We start from the raw sequence: 16,334 nt of genomic DNA on the forward strand, positions 1-16,334 counted from the left end.
CTATATTACAACACCACAAGTTTAAATAGTAAATCTCACATACATTTTAAAAATTCTAGAAAACTGCATTAGTACTTCCAGAAAGAGAACTGGGATAGTGAAAGATATACATAAAAGTTGGAAAAAACTGGTTTTTTTGTAGATGGATCTAAAGATTACATCTATAAAAACTGAAGCCAGGGAAGCAATAACTTGCCCACCTCACCCTGCCAATGAACAGCAGAACTAGGATTGGAGCTCAAGTCTCTTGATTACCAACCAGCTCAGTGCTTTGTTCACTTGCATGTAACTGTCCTTTCTCCACTCTTAAGTGTTGATGGTTTTTCTTTTATGTTGTGTCCTAGGTGATAAGCCTTATGGAATCAGAAATCTTACATATGCCCTAGTCATATTATAAATTAAAATCTTAGTCATCTTAATAGTTACTGATTTATATCAAATATATGTCTAGCACACCTTACTAAATGTATTCTGAAGACATCTGATGAGATTCAGAAAATAATGCAAGTGAATACATTCTGTAAATTTTTGGTTCACTCCTTACTGCTGCTTTATAGCTGGTTTAAGGTACGAAAGCAAATCTAAGGGTATACATCAATGAATAAACAAGGCACAAGAAAGCAATATTTCAAATAAAAATCAACACAGTGGTAACATTTCTTTTATAGTTTTGCTAACAGTTATAAAACACTTTAAACCCAAGACATGAAAAAATAGTACATGAGGTTTGAATATAAAGGTTGAGTTACCACTTGCAGTTTCCGGTTTCACTTGAGGGAGGCCTTTTTGTCGACGTTCTCTCTCTTTTTCTCGATCCCGTCTTTCTTGAGATCGAGATCGGGGAGAATGTCGGCGTCTATCCCTGGACCGAGATCGAGAACGTCGATGCCGAGACCTTCGAGATCTAGAACCAGATCTAGATCGCCTCCTTTTTGGTGACCTAATGTTTTCAAGAGAAGGGAGAATGCATAGCATATAGACAAAAACCAGAAAATATAAGCACATACTAATTAAAACAGAACAAAAACTAGGTAATTTAATGTTTGGGTATGTAAGAATGCAATACCTGAGAATTCATTTTACAGATTTAGTATGTCCCAAATTAGAAATCATGCACATTATTTAAATAAAATACACAATGTTGACAGCTTATATAAGTATCTGTCATCTTCAGTGCCGTCTGGTACTATATAAAATTACATCCTTGTAATTTAAGTAGCTAATTTTCACAGTTGAGATACACTGCTACTACTGTTACCTATCTTCTTAGTAAAGTCTTTTCTGCAGCAATTAAAAACATTCTCTGATTACAGCATTACTGTGATCTTTCCACTTTTGCTGGCTGATAAAGCTGTAATGGAACTTTGAAAATATAGTTCTTCTAATATCACATACTGATTACCTATGTATAGAATTATATCTTCAAAATTCCGTTACATCTGAGCAACTTAAATATAGGGAAAAAAAGTAAGATGAATGATGTAGTTTTTTTTTTTACATCAATACTTCACCTGCCCCCTTCTACACACATATACAAATACAAACATACCAACTGTTATTTTACTAACATTCTGAATATCTGAAAATAACCCAATCTAATTTTAATTTCTATGTCCCCTAAGATATACAGGGTTGGAAAAAACATTTTCTATAAATTACCTGGATGCTGACCTAGATCTTGACTTTCTGTTATCAGACATATGTCGCTTAACCTCTTGAATACAAGGTTGTTCTACTTCCATTTCCTTAAAAAACAAAAACCATGATAAAATGAGAAATTTAAAAAGTATAAAAGCAAGAGGACAAAATCTAACAAAAGCTATATTAAAAATCTCCTTCCCTGAAGCAATTCTCTTTTGGTTGCCTGGGACCAAATTACTAGTAACAACTGGCCATCACTGGGAAAAAAAAACAAAAACAAAAACCACTTTTATATTGTTTAAAAGATTAAAAGAAATATTTCTCTACTTCTGGTAAAGTTACTTTGCTTAAATTACATACCATTTTAATAAACCATTATCTAATGCAGTGAAGTAGGCACTAGTTAAGCCTTCAACACTCTATATCAAACCTCACAGAATCCTATGGAAGTTGGCAGTATTAGCATGTCCACTTTCCAGATGAAAAACCTGGAGCACTGAGAGGGTTTAATATGTACCCAGGTCTTTCTTCATATTCAAAAATGAAGACAGCAAGCAAATAAGGAGAAATCTGCATATAAGTCAAGGCAACAAAAAAAGATAAAACTATCTGAGAATAAAGTTTTACCTGCTGATGCGGCTTCTGTGTAAGTGGTTCATTTTGTGCCTGAAAAGAAGCTTGGAAAGGCTGCTGCACTGGTGGAGTTGGAGGAATCACAGGCTGAGCCATGGGAGGAAATGGAGGTGTAGGAAGAAGTCCAAATCCTGGCATTTGTCCATTAGGAGGAAGTGGAACCTTTCATTTTTAAAGAAAGTGTATGAGTAATAGCTATCAAAATAATTTGGAAAACCTTTAGTTATATAAAACTAAAATATCCTCAATAAAGTTTGATCAAGGAAAAGTTACAACGACATTCAACATTGTTTAACAATTTCCATATGTACAATTTCCACGCAAGAATTGTTACATACCAAGTATATAGGTTAAAAATCCTGTAACTCTTTTTAAAATTATGAACACACAGGTTTAGTTTTAAATATTTAAAGAAATACCTTCATTTACATAAGGAAGCAATGTGATAAACTGAACTTCAAGTCAGAAGTACTCCATTGCAAATGGTCTCTTTTCAGCTTTAAAGACAATTAAGCCTTTTGGGAGGAAAACTGGCTATCTAGAAGCAATGACTTCTAGGTTTACTTTAAAAAAAAATAACCAAGGGGGAATTTCAACTAACATACCCAACTTTTAGAGTTTCAAATAAAGTATCATAATAATAATGAAAGTAAACTACAATCTAACATATTTCTGCATGTCAGTTTAAACACAAATAAAACTATAAATATAATGCTTTAAGTATTCTTTCTAAATTATTTATGAACTTTCAGTAATTGTTAAACACTTGAAATAACAAAAATGCTTCCCACCCCATCCCCATAATTTAGATACAGAATCAAGTTTAAGAAACACTCAATGAGAGAATTTACTGGAACAAATTTATCTCTACTAACTTCCTGCAACTCTCCAGTGTGCTATGTATGCTCCTTTTATTGCGGATTTCAAACTATATTCCTGAATGTTCAGAGCTCAGAGCCCTCTAAAGTATCTAACCACACAAAATACAGAAGGAAGGCCCTTCCAAGGGAAAAAGCTGTATAACTAAACAGGTCGGTTTCTTCAAATAGAACTGTAATCTCTACATTATTTTAACTAAAAAAATGCCTATTATTAAAATATGAGCATGTGATTTTGGCATCCTTGTTTTAATTACAGAAAAAAGCAACTCAAAATAGTTACGTGTTCAACAGCTTTTATCAGAGATATAGTACGACTTAGCCAATTACATAGCTGCAGAGTGCTCTGTGGAATGCAAACCATACGCTCTATAATGAATAGATCTTTCTTTGAACTGCAAGAAAAATGCTTGTACCTGATGGTGCATTGGATCCTGTTGTATTCCCATCATTCGTGGCTGAAACTGATCCATATTTTGATGCTGTGTGTATGCTGGCTGCTGCATGCCATCTCCAGGAAAGCCACTAAAAAAAGGTGGATAATCTTTTACCCATTCAAAAGCACAAGCTTCTCAGCCACACTTAAATTACAGAAACAGAGTGTTGTTCATGAGTCATTAACATTTTACTGAACCATATATTTACCTATATATTAAATTTAATTTATAAACTCAGTATTATTCCCAACATAAAAGCCATTTTTTGGTTTTAAATCTTAAGAGGATCCCTTCCTCATTCAAGAGAAAACTAATACCACAAATTTTACAAAACAACTTCATAGAACATTGTTGTCATTGCTAAATGTTACTTAGGTTATGCCTTACAACTATTACCAATTTTCTATCTGCTGAGGAATAAAAAAAAAAACTAACAATGGTGCCTGTGGAGGAGGAGGAGAGGCAGCAGCGGGTGCAGCAGCAGCAGGCACGGTGGCGGTGGGTGCAGGGGGTACTGCGGCAGCAGGTGCTGTCGTGGTGACGGCAGTGGTATCCTCTTTCTTTGATTCTTCCACAGCTTCTGGCTCATCATCATAGTCAAATCTATCAAGCAACTTCTGGAATAATTATGTCAATATTTCATTTTAAAATTTAGACTGATTCACTGCACAAAAAACTTTATGAAAACAAGGGATGTTTACCACCATCTAGAAACCCACATTGTCAAGCACAATCTTATTTTCCCTTATGCCCCTCAGGACCTTGGTTTGTAGATATAAACAATTTTTACACAGATGCCAGTTTGGAAAACACACAGTGTTTTCATTCTGTTTTCCTTCCTCAATTGTAAGTACAGTGCTTTCTATTTTCTATTGGTGTATTTCACAAGTAATTTAGCAGCATACATGTTTTTCTAAAATACTCATTTCCCTAGCCTAAAAATGTCTGGAACTTTGTGCACATGAAAATGGGTATACATTTTCAGTCAGCATAAAATGTACAAAAAGACTGTCTTATTCAATCACCATAATGCATATAGAAAAGTGTCCATATACTGCTTCCTCAAGAATATACTAATATAAAAAAAGAAAAAAAATGGCAAGGACACAAAAAAGTCACTAGCAGTTCCTAAGAGGTTCGCTTGCTTCTTTCTCATAACTTCACAGCTTACCAGAAACTTTCATGTAAAAAAAAATTCAAGAGACTTAATGAGATCACATATCTAGAAGAACAATTTTAAGTAAGATTTATTCAGAAAAAAGATAATGCTTAAATACCTACTAATGTGTATCAGATCATATAGACTTCATCACAAGAACACTGCAATGTAGATAGTTTCTTCTTTTTTACAGACAAGGAAACAAAGGCTCAGGTGATTAAGAAACATGATTAAGATTGCACAGTCAGTGAATGGTAGAATCAGGATGCGGACACTAGTCCTTTTGACTTCAAAGCCCTCAGTCTCTGGCTTTCAATAAGCAATCTTTCCTTTCAAGCCGTGCTCATTCTGCTTATAGACTTCAACCTTAAATTCCTGAACCTTGTCATTCTATAATAGTTCTGCCTAGAGATTCTGGTTTTGCTTTATTGAACAACACATTTCTAAATCAAATGAAAAGTTCTGTCCTTAGACAACACAGTATATAGGACTAAACTAAGTGTAAAGTGTGTTTTGGGATAGAGCTAACTTATGTTTCTTTGTAGTTCTAGGCCAAGTGAGTAAAGTTCTTACAAATGAGCAAGTTAGTATTTTCTGAACAGGAACCATCACAGCCCAGGTACCTTGCTGTTTTACATATTTTTATTTAACCCTCATGGCAACAATAAAATATTTTTACTACCATCTTTATTTTACACTACTGAACAGTAAACATTAATTCAACAACAGGACAGTCTGTAAGTAATTGGAGCCAAAATTAAAATCTGGTCAAAGTCGCCTATAAAAAACAAAACCTATGATCTTCACAGTTTATTACATATTAATATGTTCTTTAAAGTTTGAAGAATACTGCTTTAAAATACTTAAAGCAATTAAAAAATTAAAATGGGGTCTACCCAAAAAGAAATTTTAGTTGCTTTTTAGGAAACTGAAGATCTATAAAGTAGCTGAAACAGACAAATTATTTCCAGTGAGAAGCTTGAAACAGACCTTTTTAGTCAAAAGAAAAGCACAGAATTCCTTTTTCTAAACTTATGGGCCAGTCCACTTAAGGTTAAATACTAGAGGAATTAGAATTCACATTAATAAGAGAAACATGCTCACCATCATGGCTTTTCCTAAATTTACCTATAAATTCAAAGGAATTCTATACACTGACATAGAAATGTACAGAGTTTTCCAGTTCATCTGGAAAAGTATGCTGTGACTGTTAATTTTGTGTCAACCTGCCTAGGTTATGTAGTACCCAGCTGTACAGTCAAACACTAATCTAGGTGTTGCTGTGAAGGTGTTTTTTTAGATGAGAAGGTGTTTTTTAGATGAAAGTAACAATAAATCAGTAGACTCTGAGTAAAGCAGATTACTCTCAATAATGAGTGGGCCTCAATCAATCAGTTGAAGGCATTAAGAATAAGAACTGAGATAGAGGGAATTATCCTCAGCAGTGCAACAGAGAAACCCTGGCCTGAGTTTTTAGTCTGCTATCCTGCAAATTCAGACTCAGGCCTACAATGTTAACTCCTGAATTTCCAGCCTGCTGACCTGCCCTGCAAATTTCAAATTTGCTAGTCCCTACAACTGCGTGAGCCAGTTTCTTAAGATAAATCTATCTTTCATTCAAGAATCTAGATAGACAGATGCAGATGTAGATTCAATTACTGGTTCTGTTTCCCTGGAACTCTTGACTAATACACTTCATGATAAATGAACAAAGTTTGAAAAAGTATGAGGGGGAGTTTGAAAAAGAGTGAAGTGGGAGGGGGAGAGACGGGATACCAGGAAATGAAAGACAGTCTGTCACAAGAATTATTATGATGCAGAAATAAACAAATATATTAGTGGGATAGAACAGTGTCCAGAGATAAGACACAGAAACATACAGGAATTTAGTGTATAAAAAAGTAGTGAGGGAGAACTGGCTATTTTCAAAAACATAATGGTTTAACTATCTTCAACCATATTCTAAAACAGATTCCAGAGGGACTGAACAGACAATCATAAAAAAAACCTTACTAGAATATAGAAATCTTTTCTAATACAAATGAGGAGTTTTCCTAATCACAACATAAAACAAAAAACTAGGAAAACCAAATATGTGAGTTTATGTTCGTATGTGCATGCAAACAAGAGTGCAAGAATATACACGAACAAATCTGTTCAAACTGCAGTGTGGAATTCTTTCCTTATTTTATAACTTTCTGTATTATTTGTTTTTTTTTTTTTCTGCAAGTATATATTTCCTTTTTACTCAAAAAAATGTATCCAACTTTTGTTTAATCAGTCATCACTCATAAATCACTAAGATATAATGAAAACTGGTATTTACTAGGTGGATTTTTAATTTAGACTATTGGCAATAAAGTCCTTCTGTTTTTATAGTTAGGATGTTGGAAAGAATCAGATATTTTAAAGATGATGAAACCAAAGGCATCAGTTCTGATTTTCAAACTTTTGAGTTTTTTTGCAGTGAAAACTGAAAAGTCAAATGATGTTTTATAAAGCCATAAACCAAATAAAACAGACAAGAGTGGAGCTGTTAGGGTTAAATTTCAATGAGAAGCTCTAAGCTGTTCAGCATATCCATATCCTTAGTGGCAGCTTCTTAAACATGCCTAAGAAACCTATAGGCCCGATAGAGCAGCTGAGACACTGACCTAACTCAAATCCTCTTTTTTGTTGTTGCTTGTTTTTTAGAGACAGGATCTCATTCTGTTGCCCAGGCTAGTGGCACAATCATGGCTTACTGCAGCTTTGAATTCCTGGGGCCAAGCAACCCACCCACCTCAGCATCCTGGGTAGCTAGGGCTACAGGTGCACACCACCATACCCAGCTGGTTCCCAAACCCTCATATTATATATATGGTAACTAAGGTTAAAATACACACACACTCACACACACACACACAAATAATATATAATTTTATATATTTTTATATATTAAAAATAATACCTATATATTATTAATACACACACATATATATTAAAAATAAATAAACACAGACGGAGTCTCACTATGTTGCCCAGGCTGGTCTCAAACTCCTGGGCTCATGGGATCCTCCGTTCTCGACCTCCCAAAGTGTTGGGACTACAGGTGTGAGCCACCACACTTGGCTGTCAGGTTTTTTTAACAGCAAAAAACTGAAAGCAATTTGAATGTCTATTAGTAGTGGAATGGCTGAACTGTAATGTGCCCATGTAGTGGAATACTATGTATTACATGCATTCAGTAAAAATGTAGATCTAAATCCACTATTAACCTTAACAACAACAAAAAAGATACAAGAGTATTAACACCAAAACAAGTGGGTATGTATTATACTCAATTAAAGAAAAGCATGTATCTGTAGGAAATTAATTCTGAAAAGATGTAAGGCAAAATGTTACACAGTAATCCCCAAGTATTGGGGTTAATGAAGAATTTTCTGTTTCCTTTACTCCCTAACTTTTTCTTTTTTTTTTTTTTTTCACTTTTTTAATTTTACACTAGTAAATTCAGCTTCAAACCCTGGAAATTTTTGCACTGAGCACATATCACATTTAAAACCAGGGAAAATAATCGATGTTTTCTTGTTGAGGGGGAAAATCTCTCAAATTACAAAACGACATAATGAACAATCCACAGAAGGGATACAGAAGTGATAATTTCCATAACTCAAGTTGAGTGATATAAATGGTGGGGTGGGTTATGTGAGAGAAATATACCTTGTCAAATGCAGTTTTCTGTTCAGGTGGGGGGAAAGCAGCTTTTTGTTCAGATGGTTGTGTAGGAGTTGTCTTTAACTGAGCTGTGATAGCCTGAACCTGAGCCATCACAGCATTGTCAAGGGCAGGAGACTGTGGTTTTGGAGGCTGTTGAAAAGTCTGAAGGATCTGCTGAAGCTTAAAGAATGGGAAAACCAATAAATCACAGAACAAAGTATAATCATACTATCAAAAGTTAATTTAATAAAAAAATGTCTTAAAGGTGATTCAAAGTAGCATAGGCACAGAACAAATTGGGGAAAAAATCCTTTTATGAATGGTTAAATTTGTTGTGAATGAATATACAGAGATATAATGTGCATTTCTTAAGGTTAAAAATGTATGCTGACAATGTCAATGATATGATGGTCAAAAAAAGAGAAAATACACTGAATTGTGAACAAAGTAAGCATAAGTTTTCTAGAAAAATGGAAAAATTCTCTCCGTTAAAAATAATTTTGAAATCCATCAGAAATGCTAGAATTGTGAGCAACATGAGCCACTTAGTAGTTCTAAAGTCCTCTTCAAAGAGGTACTGTCATTTCTAAGTGTGTTGTTCCCTTGTTTATCACTTCTACATTTTCCCTGTTCCTCCTACATTACTTCTCTTGTGAAGGCTTTTCTAGTTGAAAAGCAGACGTATTTTCTCCTTTCAATGTGCTTATTAATGAAGAATAGAAAACAAGAAGTGACAACAGTACCTAGTCCTGCAAACAATTTCACTTTTGAGTAGACAGTTTACCTGTTGGCCTTGAGTTGTCTGAAACAGCTGAGCCACAGCAGCAAAAGCATCAGAGCTGGGCAACTGTGGTACAGCTGGGACGGAGTTTGGAGTGGCTTGTGTGGGAGGTTCAGAAGAAACTTTTACTGGAGGTGGAGGTGAGCCTAAAAAAGAAAAGGGCATTAAGGCCTAAAAAAAAAGTTAACCTACAAGTTTTCCTAATTAAGCTTCTTTGCTAAAATAACATTTTATCCAATTTAACAAAGTATAAAATATAGAGATTGTGGCACTAGAGTTTATACTGTAACAACTACCAGAAGAGCAGACCTTTATTATAAATAGGAATTATGGAAAGAAAATCATACCTTCCAAGATGTAAACTCAAGTTTCCTTCTTATAGAAAAATTCCTTCAATACACATAAACTCTGACTGTTTCATGTGCAAAAAATCATACCATTGTGTGAGCTCACAGATACATCTGACCATACCTTCATTATTGGTAACATTTTCTGCTACTGGGGCTGCATTACTGGTTCCCGCTGCCATGTCCAAAAGAGGTTGAATAATTTCAATTTTGAACACTCCATTTTTTTGCCAAAGGTTCAGCACACGAACTATTTTACTCTGTTACGCATGAGAAACACAAATATACAATAAATATTTGCATAAATAACCGATTATACTCTTACAAAAAAAAGAGAGGAAAACTCCCTAGGCTAATATTTCCATACTATGTGTGTTTCATAAACAAGGAAAAAAAAAAATCAGAATTACAACCTGGTTAAACTAATTAGTCTTTCTTCAGTGGTATCATCTAGAGTAAGGAACAGAGATGGACTATAGACCCAGACAATAAAAAGAAATTTATTATTTGACATTTTCATTTTATTTTACTTATGGTTACAAATAAACTATCACTGACCCCCCAAAAAAAAGCTATCTTGAAGTAAATGAAGGAGAATTTCTTCAGAGTAATTATAACAGCTAAAATATTTAAGCAACTGGCCTGTAGTCAAAACTTAAATTATGTGGCCAAGCAAATATGAAGATCCAGAGAATATATGTTATTCATGGGCACAACTTTTATCTTTACTCAAGGAATCATCTTGGTTTTGGGTGTATTTTTCCCACAAGAGCATTCTTCCAAGAATATAAAAACAGCACCTATGACACTGAAATTTATATGCTGTTTATTGTAAATGTCTCCGTTCTTCATTATTCTGAGTATGTTTACTAGTATAATTCCTCCTATCTACTTATAGTCAGCTACTATATCTGTAATGTTTTTCTACTTTTATATAGTATGTTGTAAAGCCAACTGTATATATAAGGAATTAAATACTGTAGTCTGATTGCTAATGAATACCACTTAAACTTTAGTATCTCTATATGTTGGGGAAGAACATCTATTATTGGCTCTTTCTTTCTGGAATAACCACAATCAGATGATCGCTGTCTTTTCCTACTGCACAATTTCTTCCTTACTCAACTACACAAGCACATCTTTCCAACGATATCTTCTTTAAAGATGATGCGCCTTTCATATTATTTTTTAAAAATTTTACTTTACTGTGATAAGAACACTTAACATGAGATCTACTCACTTAGCCAATTTTTAAGTGTACAATACAGAATTGTTAACTATAGGTACAAGGTTGTTCAGCAGATCTCTACAACCTATTCATCTTGCTTAACTGAAATGTCATACCTATTGATTAGCAGCTCCTAATGTTTCCCTTACCCCTAGTCCCTGGCAACCACTATTAAACTCTTTGATTCTATAAATTTTGTTCCTGTCATATTTCAACAGTATGACTGATAATCCTGAAGAACTCATAAGAAAATAAACACGAAATGACCACTGAAGAAAAAAACTGTTTTGTTTCAAGCTCACAGACATCGCTACATGAAAATCTTATCTGGTAATATAGTAGGCTCCAAATATCTAACATACATTTAAAATAATATTTTTTAAAGAATACAAGTTTTAGTTTAAAAATTAATTATACCTTATCTTCAGATGGACAAAGATATAAATATTGGAATGTGGCAGTTATGTTTTTAGAGAATCTTGGCCCAAAAACATCTTTATCAGTTCCAAACTGATGACGAGACTGTCGCACAATTGAGTCAATTACATATAATCCCGGAACCTTGTATTCTGGTTTACACTGCAAGGATAAAGATGTAAGATCAGTACAGAAAAAGCAAAGTCACAATCTGACACCCATTATTTTCACATTTATGAAACTTTTATATATCCATCCAATGATTGCTTTTGTTTAAAAACTACTTGAATGTTTCAGCTCTCTAAATGGCTAACTTGTCAAATTTCCCATGTCTATAATGGAACTACCATTCTCTTGATACTACTGACCCCCAAGATTTTACTCTTCTTTGATTTCTCTACTTCCCTACACCCAATGTCCCAAAATCGACATTACTTTACCAATCCTTAAGCCAGTTCCATATAAATTCACTTATTATGATAGTCTCTACAATTCACCCTGCTCAAAAAGGTAATTTTTATCTTTCAAAATTAACAAAACATTTTTTAACATATCAATTTTAATTCTATTACAGTACCAAATAAAAATTAAAAACAAGAAGTAGTTTTTGGCTAACCGAACTGACAACAGCAGAGAAAAGCAGAGAAACAGACACCTATATATATTTCTGGTGGTAGTGGAAACAGGTATAACCCTTTATAGAAGACAATTTAGCAATAAAAGCAAAGTCTTATTTAATCCACCAATTCTACATCTAGGAATTTATGCAAAAAAAAAAAAAATTAGGTCTAACAACTCAGAAAATGGCTGTGTGCATCACTGTAACAACCGCAGAGGAGTATTTTGCAACTGTTTACGATAAACTCAGTGGGAAAAGCAGCCTAACAACCAGTATTATGTCCATTTTTACTTTTATAAATGTACATGTACATAAAAAATAAATCCAAATGTATTAATAAATATTGCAGTTAATTTGTTGACAGTGCCTATAGGTAATTTTTTCCATTTTATTTATTTGTACTTTGATGTACTACTATGCAAAGCGTTTACTAACCATCTTTTTTGCCTGTTGGAACTTTAACTTTTATACCTAAGCCAGTATACAAGGGCCATGGATTAGAGACATTTTTATAAACACTGATTAGTAGGTACTACATGTCACAGCTCCAGGTCAGGGGTTAAGACAAAGATGTCTCAGTCTCTGTTTTCTATTTTCTACTGAGACAGATGTGTGCCAATCACACAGTTATAAAACAACAGACAGCTGAACTGAAAATAATTTTATTCTGATGGGAAAAGGGAAAAATTGGGAAAATTTGACAAAGTAATTTCATTTGAAATACTCAAAGGTGAGTTAAACACCTAAATGTCAACAGCAGTCAGGGCAAGGGGGTAGAGTAAGCACTTCAGGTTTAGGGAAGGGTCATAACCAACATATAAGAAACTGCTGTGAGTTGAGTGCTAAGTTCACAGTAAGTTAAGTACCAATTAATGGTACTGCTAAAAATGTGTTTTTATAAACTTCTAGTGATTAAAAAGAACCTCTAGTGACTAAATTTTTATGAAGTGGTTTAGAAACAAGCATTGAGATTAAAATTTACAAAGTAAATTACAAATCATATTGTAACTAAAATGAGGTTATAATGAGAGATAGTTACCTTTTTGATGAACTTTTCTACTATTTGAACTACATGCTTATAAAGCTGAAAAGAATTAAGAGAAAATTACTGTTCAGTTTACTTATTTCTACATTTCCTATAATTAGAAAATTCTTAAAACTCTGAAATCTATACAATCTAAATATTATCAATACTGAATGAACCATGAGAAATACATAATAAAAAATTTAATATTAAAAAACTCAGAGAAAAATAAACTAAAAACAGAAAACTACAAAAATTCCCCAAACAGAAGATCCCTTTTCTTAAATTTTAAATCAATAAACCTTCATGAAGCAGAATATTTGGCAACCTTATGGGACAAAACCAATGGATTAGAGCTAAACAATGTAGTTTCTAAAATAAGTCACATTTTAAAGTGTGATTTTGGGTAAGACATTTAACTTCATGGAGCTTGAATTTTTTCTCTTTAAATAAAAATGAAACTAAATAGTTGGTTTATGATAAGGAATAAATGAAAATTTAAAAAACTGCTTTGAGGCTGGGCGTGGTGGCGCACACCTGTAATCTCAGCTACTCAGGTGGCTCAGGCATGAGAATCACTTGAACCCGGGAGGGTGAGGTTGCAGTGAGCTGAGATCGCACCACTGCATTCCAGCCTGGGTGGCGCAGTGAGACTCTATCCCCCTACCCCCACCAAAAAACCACACTGCTTTGAAACAATATGTTACAATGCAAATGCACGCTTATCATGTACCTTCAGCAAAGGCTGGTTAGGGCTCTTTGATTTAGGCCTGAACTAATTCACAAGTTGACTTCTCATGTTTAAAAGTAATAAATATTTTCAAAATTTCAAAAAGATTTCTCAAATTGCTTTATTTTATCATTACCTTAATAGCTTTAATAGCAGCTTTAGTGATGAGAATCATCTTGGCTCTAGAGATGGGAGGTTTCATATCCATAAGCGAAAAGAGCTTAAAAGACAAAAAACAAACAAAAAGTAAAGTTTAACTATTTGGCTAGTAAATAAGCACCTTTCCTACATATCTACATCACCACTTGGAAAATACAAACGGGGCCGGGGTGGTGAGGGGGGTCTTAGCAGCTAGGGCAGCAGGAAGAGCTTTGGTGGCCAGGCACCCAGCACACACCCTCCCCACTGCCGTGATACCCAAGAAGAAGGTTAGCTCTGCCAAAGGGGTGGCGAAGGGGTAGTGAAATGAAGGAAGAGCCCAAGAGGCAATCGGCATGGCTGTCAGCTAAACCTGCTCCTGCAAAAGTGGAAATGAGGCTGAAAAAAGGCAGCAGAAGTATAAATCCTTAGACAAAGATGTGCAAACAAAAGGGAAAGGGAGGGGGAGCAAAGAGAAAACAGACTCAAGTGACTAACCAAGAAACTAAAGATTTACCTGCAGAAAACGGAGAAACTAAAACCAATGAGAGTCCAGCCTCTGATGAAGCCAGAGAAAGAAGCCAAGTCTACTCAGTACATACCATGTCTTATCAGTGGTCTCTGTCTCCCCTCTCTTCAATCCAGAGGAGTATTTTTATCAACTATTTTGTAAATGCAAGATTTTAGTAGGTCTAGAAACATTTTTAAGGAGGGAATCCCAGTTCATCCCATTTTTTATGTATAAATGCTTTTTTTTAAGAGGTAAAATCATTCACTGGTTGTTTACTTTATTTTTTGGTACAACCAGAACAGAGTGTGGGATGTTGTATTATGGGAGGCTTTGACTGTCTTGGGTGTCAGCTTAACATTCCATAGATGGGGGGGTTACTTTTTATATCCTATAATGTCTCTACTAAATATACAAATATTAGCCAGCCATGGTGGCGCACACCTGTAATCCCAGCTACTCAGGAGGCTGAGGCATGAGAACTGCTTGAACCCAGGAGGTGGAGGTTGCAGTGAGCCAAGACTGCATCACTGCACTCCAGCCTGGGCAACAGAGCAAGACTTTGTTTCCAAAAAACACAAACAAAAGGGGAAAACCAAATTTAACAAATCTCACAACAGTAAATCTACAGCCATCAGGTGCTTCCATGAGACTTAACCACATACTTCCCCCAAAGGGTTAAATCCAACCAAAACATAGAGTCCATAGAGGGTTATAAAGATAAAATCCTGACATTAAGAAACATATCTACCTTCTTAAATTATTGTTTTTGTTTGGTTTAACCATAAGCATACACTTACCTGGGACTTCCAAAAGATATTGTGAAGTAAGTTTCAGAGATCCCAACATTATGAAACTCATATGAATCACATTTCCATTCTTTCAATTTATGTCAATATTCCAAATATGGAGCCCTAGGGTATGAACCTTTACTAGACCACTAGCTAAGAGGCTAGACTAAAATATGAGTGTTTTCTCAGAGTAAACAGCCCCACCTAGCAGTGTATCCTAAAAATTTAGACAATTTTCACATCTTTTCAAAACTACAGACATCAGTAACAATTTTAGAAAAGGCATGGAATGCCAAATATAATCAATAAAAAACCAGATAACTACTTAAGCAGAAAATATAATTTTTCCATAAGATACAGAAAACAGAGAAAACACTAAGATATTAACACAGGATTTCATTTTAATAAAAGGATTCTCTAAATACGGCTGCAATTCTTCATTGTATTACTTCATTTACCAATGTAATAAAAAAATTATCTTTGAGAATAAAACGCTCACTAACTGAAAGGCAATTAGAAAAGAAACAGTAAGGCCAGGCGCGGTGGCTCATGCCTGTAATCCCAGCACTTTGGGAGGCCTAGGTGGGCGGTTCACCTGAGGTCAGGAGTTCGAGACCAGCCTGGCCAACGTGGCGAAACCTCATCTCTACTATAAATACAAAATGGTGGCGGGCACCTGTAGTCCCAGCTACTTGGGAGGCTGAGGCAGGAGAATCGCTTGAACCCAGGAGGCGGACAGAGGTTGCAGTAAGCCAAGATCGCGCCACTGCACGCCAGGCCAGGCGACAGAGCGAGACTCTGTCTTTAAAAAAAAAAAAGAAAAGAAAAGAAAAGAAAAAGAAATAACAAATCCTTAAAATTATACAAACCAGTAAGAAACAATTTAACATATTTCAACTTAAACACAAATTCTAAAAATATCAACACTGTATGATTTATAAATATGTAGCATACATTTATAAAAGGTATATTCTGTTATAAAATCTATTAAGACAGTTGCTTATTATTGTTCTATTTTCTATACCTTAACACAGTGAAAGGGGATGCAAAAACAAAAACAAAAACCCATAGGTCTTAATGAACACACCCACACACATTTAATTCTTGGGTTGTCTCCACAACTCTTCAATGATTTATGCAAAAATCCTGAAGAAACTAGAAACCCTCCCTTCCTTGTTCTCAACCTCCTGAGTCAAGACCACTTCTTGATGTGATTCATGCCAAACACTTAAGACACTGCTATATTTTGGATAGATTAAATCTTTAATAATAAAGTAGAAGCAATAAGGGGCCTTTCCACGTAG

At 34.6% G+C, this 16,334-nt stretch overlaps 1 protein-coding gene and 1 pseudogene across 9 annotated transcripts in view, besides 1 other annotated feature; one reads left to right on the plus strand and one right to left on the minus strand.

Annotated features, from left to right (window-relative positions):
• Positions 1-16,334, minus strand: part of SCAF4 (SR-related CTD associated factor 4) — a 61,119-nt gene that overhangs the window by 21,545 nt on the left and 23,240 nt on the right. For 2 of the 9 annotated variants that reach the window (XM_006724036.4, XM_006724035.4), the window contains exons 2-12: positions 13,730-13,813; positions 12,879-12,923; positions 11,221-11,382; positions 9,700-9,835; positions 9,232-9,374; positions 8,451-8,627; positions 4,025-4,206; positions 3,569-3,677; positions 2,269-2,436; positions 1,672-1,745; positions 750-940 (exon numbers count right to left, since the gene is read on the minus strand). In XM_006724036.4, coding sequence (XP_006724099.1) covers positions 750-940; positions 1,672-1,745; positions 2,269-2,436; positions 3,569-3,677; positions 4,025-4,206; positions 8,451-8,627; positions 9,232-9,374; positions 9,700-9,835; positions 11,221-11,382; positions 12,879-12,923; positions 13,730-13,813 — 1,471 coding nt within the window. Of the gene's footprint in view, positions 1-749; positions 941-1,659; positions 1,746-2,268; positions 2,437-3,568; positions 3,678-4,024; positions 4,207-8,450; positions 8,628-9,231; positions 9,375-9,699; positions 9,836-11,220; positions 11,383-12,878; positions 12,924-13,729; positions 13,814-16,334 lie in introns of all 9 variants that reach the window. The other 7 variants (NM_001145445.1, NM_020706.2, XM_047440932.1 and 4 more) reach the window with 4 other exon arrangements.
• Positions 13,512-14,013: an enhancer, noted in NCBI's record as "H3K4me1 hESC enhancer chr21:33078369-33078870 (GRCh37/hg19 assembly coordinates)". NCBI's record gives its function as "activates a minimal SCP1, AML or CMV promoter by ChIP-STARR-seq in naive H9 embryonic stem cells {active_cell/tissue: H9 hESC(naive)}" and the evidence as "EXISTENCE:reporter gene assay evidence [ECO:0000049][PMID:30033119]".
• HMGN1P2 (high mobility group nucleosome binding domain 1 pseudogene 2) lies at positions 13,933-14,637 on the plus strand (annotated as a pseudogene).

Source organism: Homo sapiens, chromosome 21 (genome assembly GCF_000001405.40).
Source record: "Homo sapiens chromosome 21, GRCh38.p14 Primary Assembly".
Classification (NCBI taxonomy): Eukaryota; Metazoa; Chordata; class Mammalia; order Primates; family Hominidae; genus Homo; species Homo sapiens.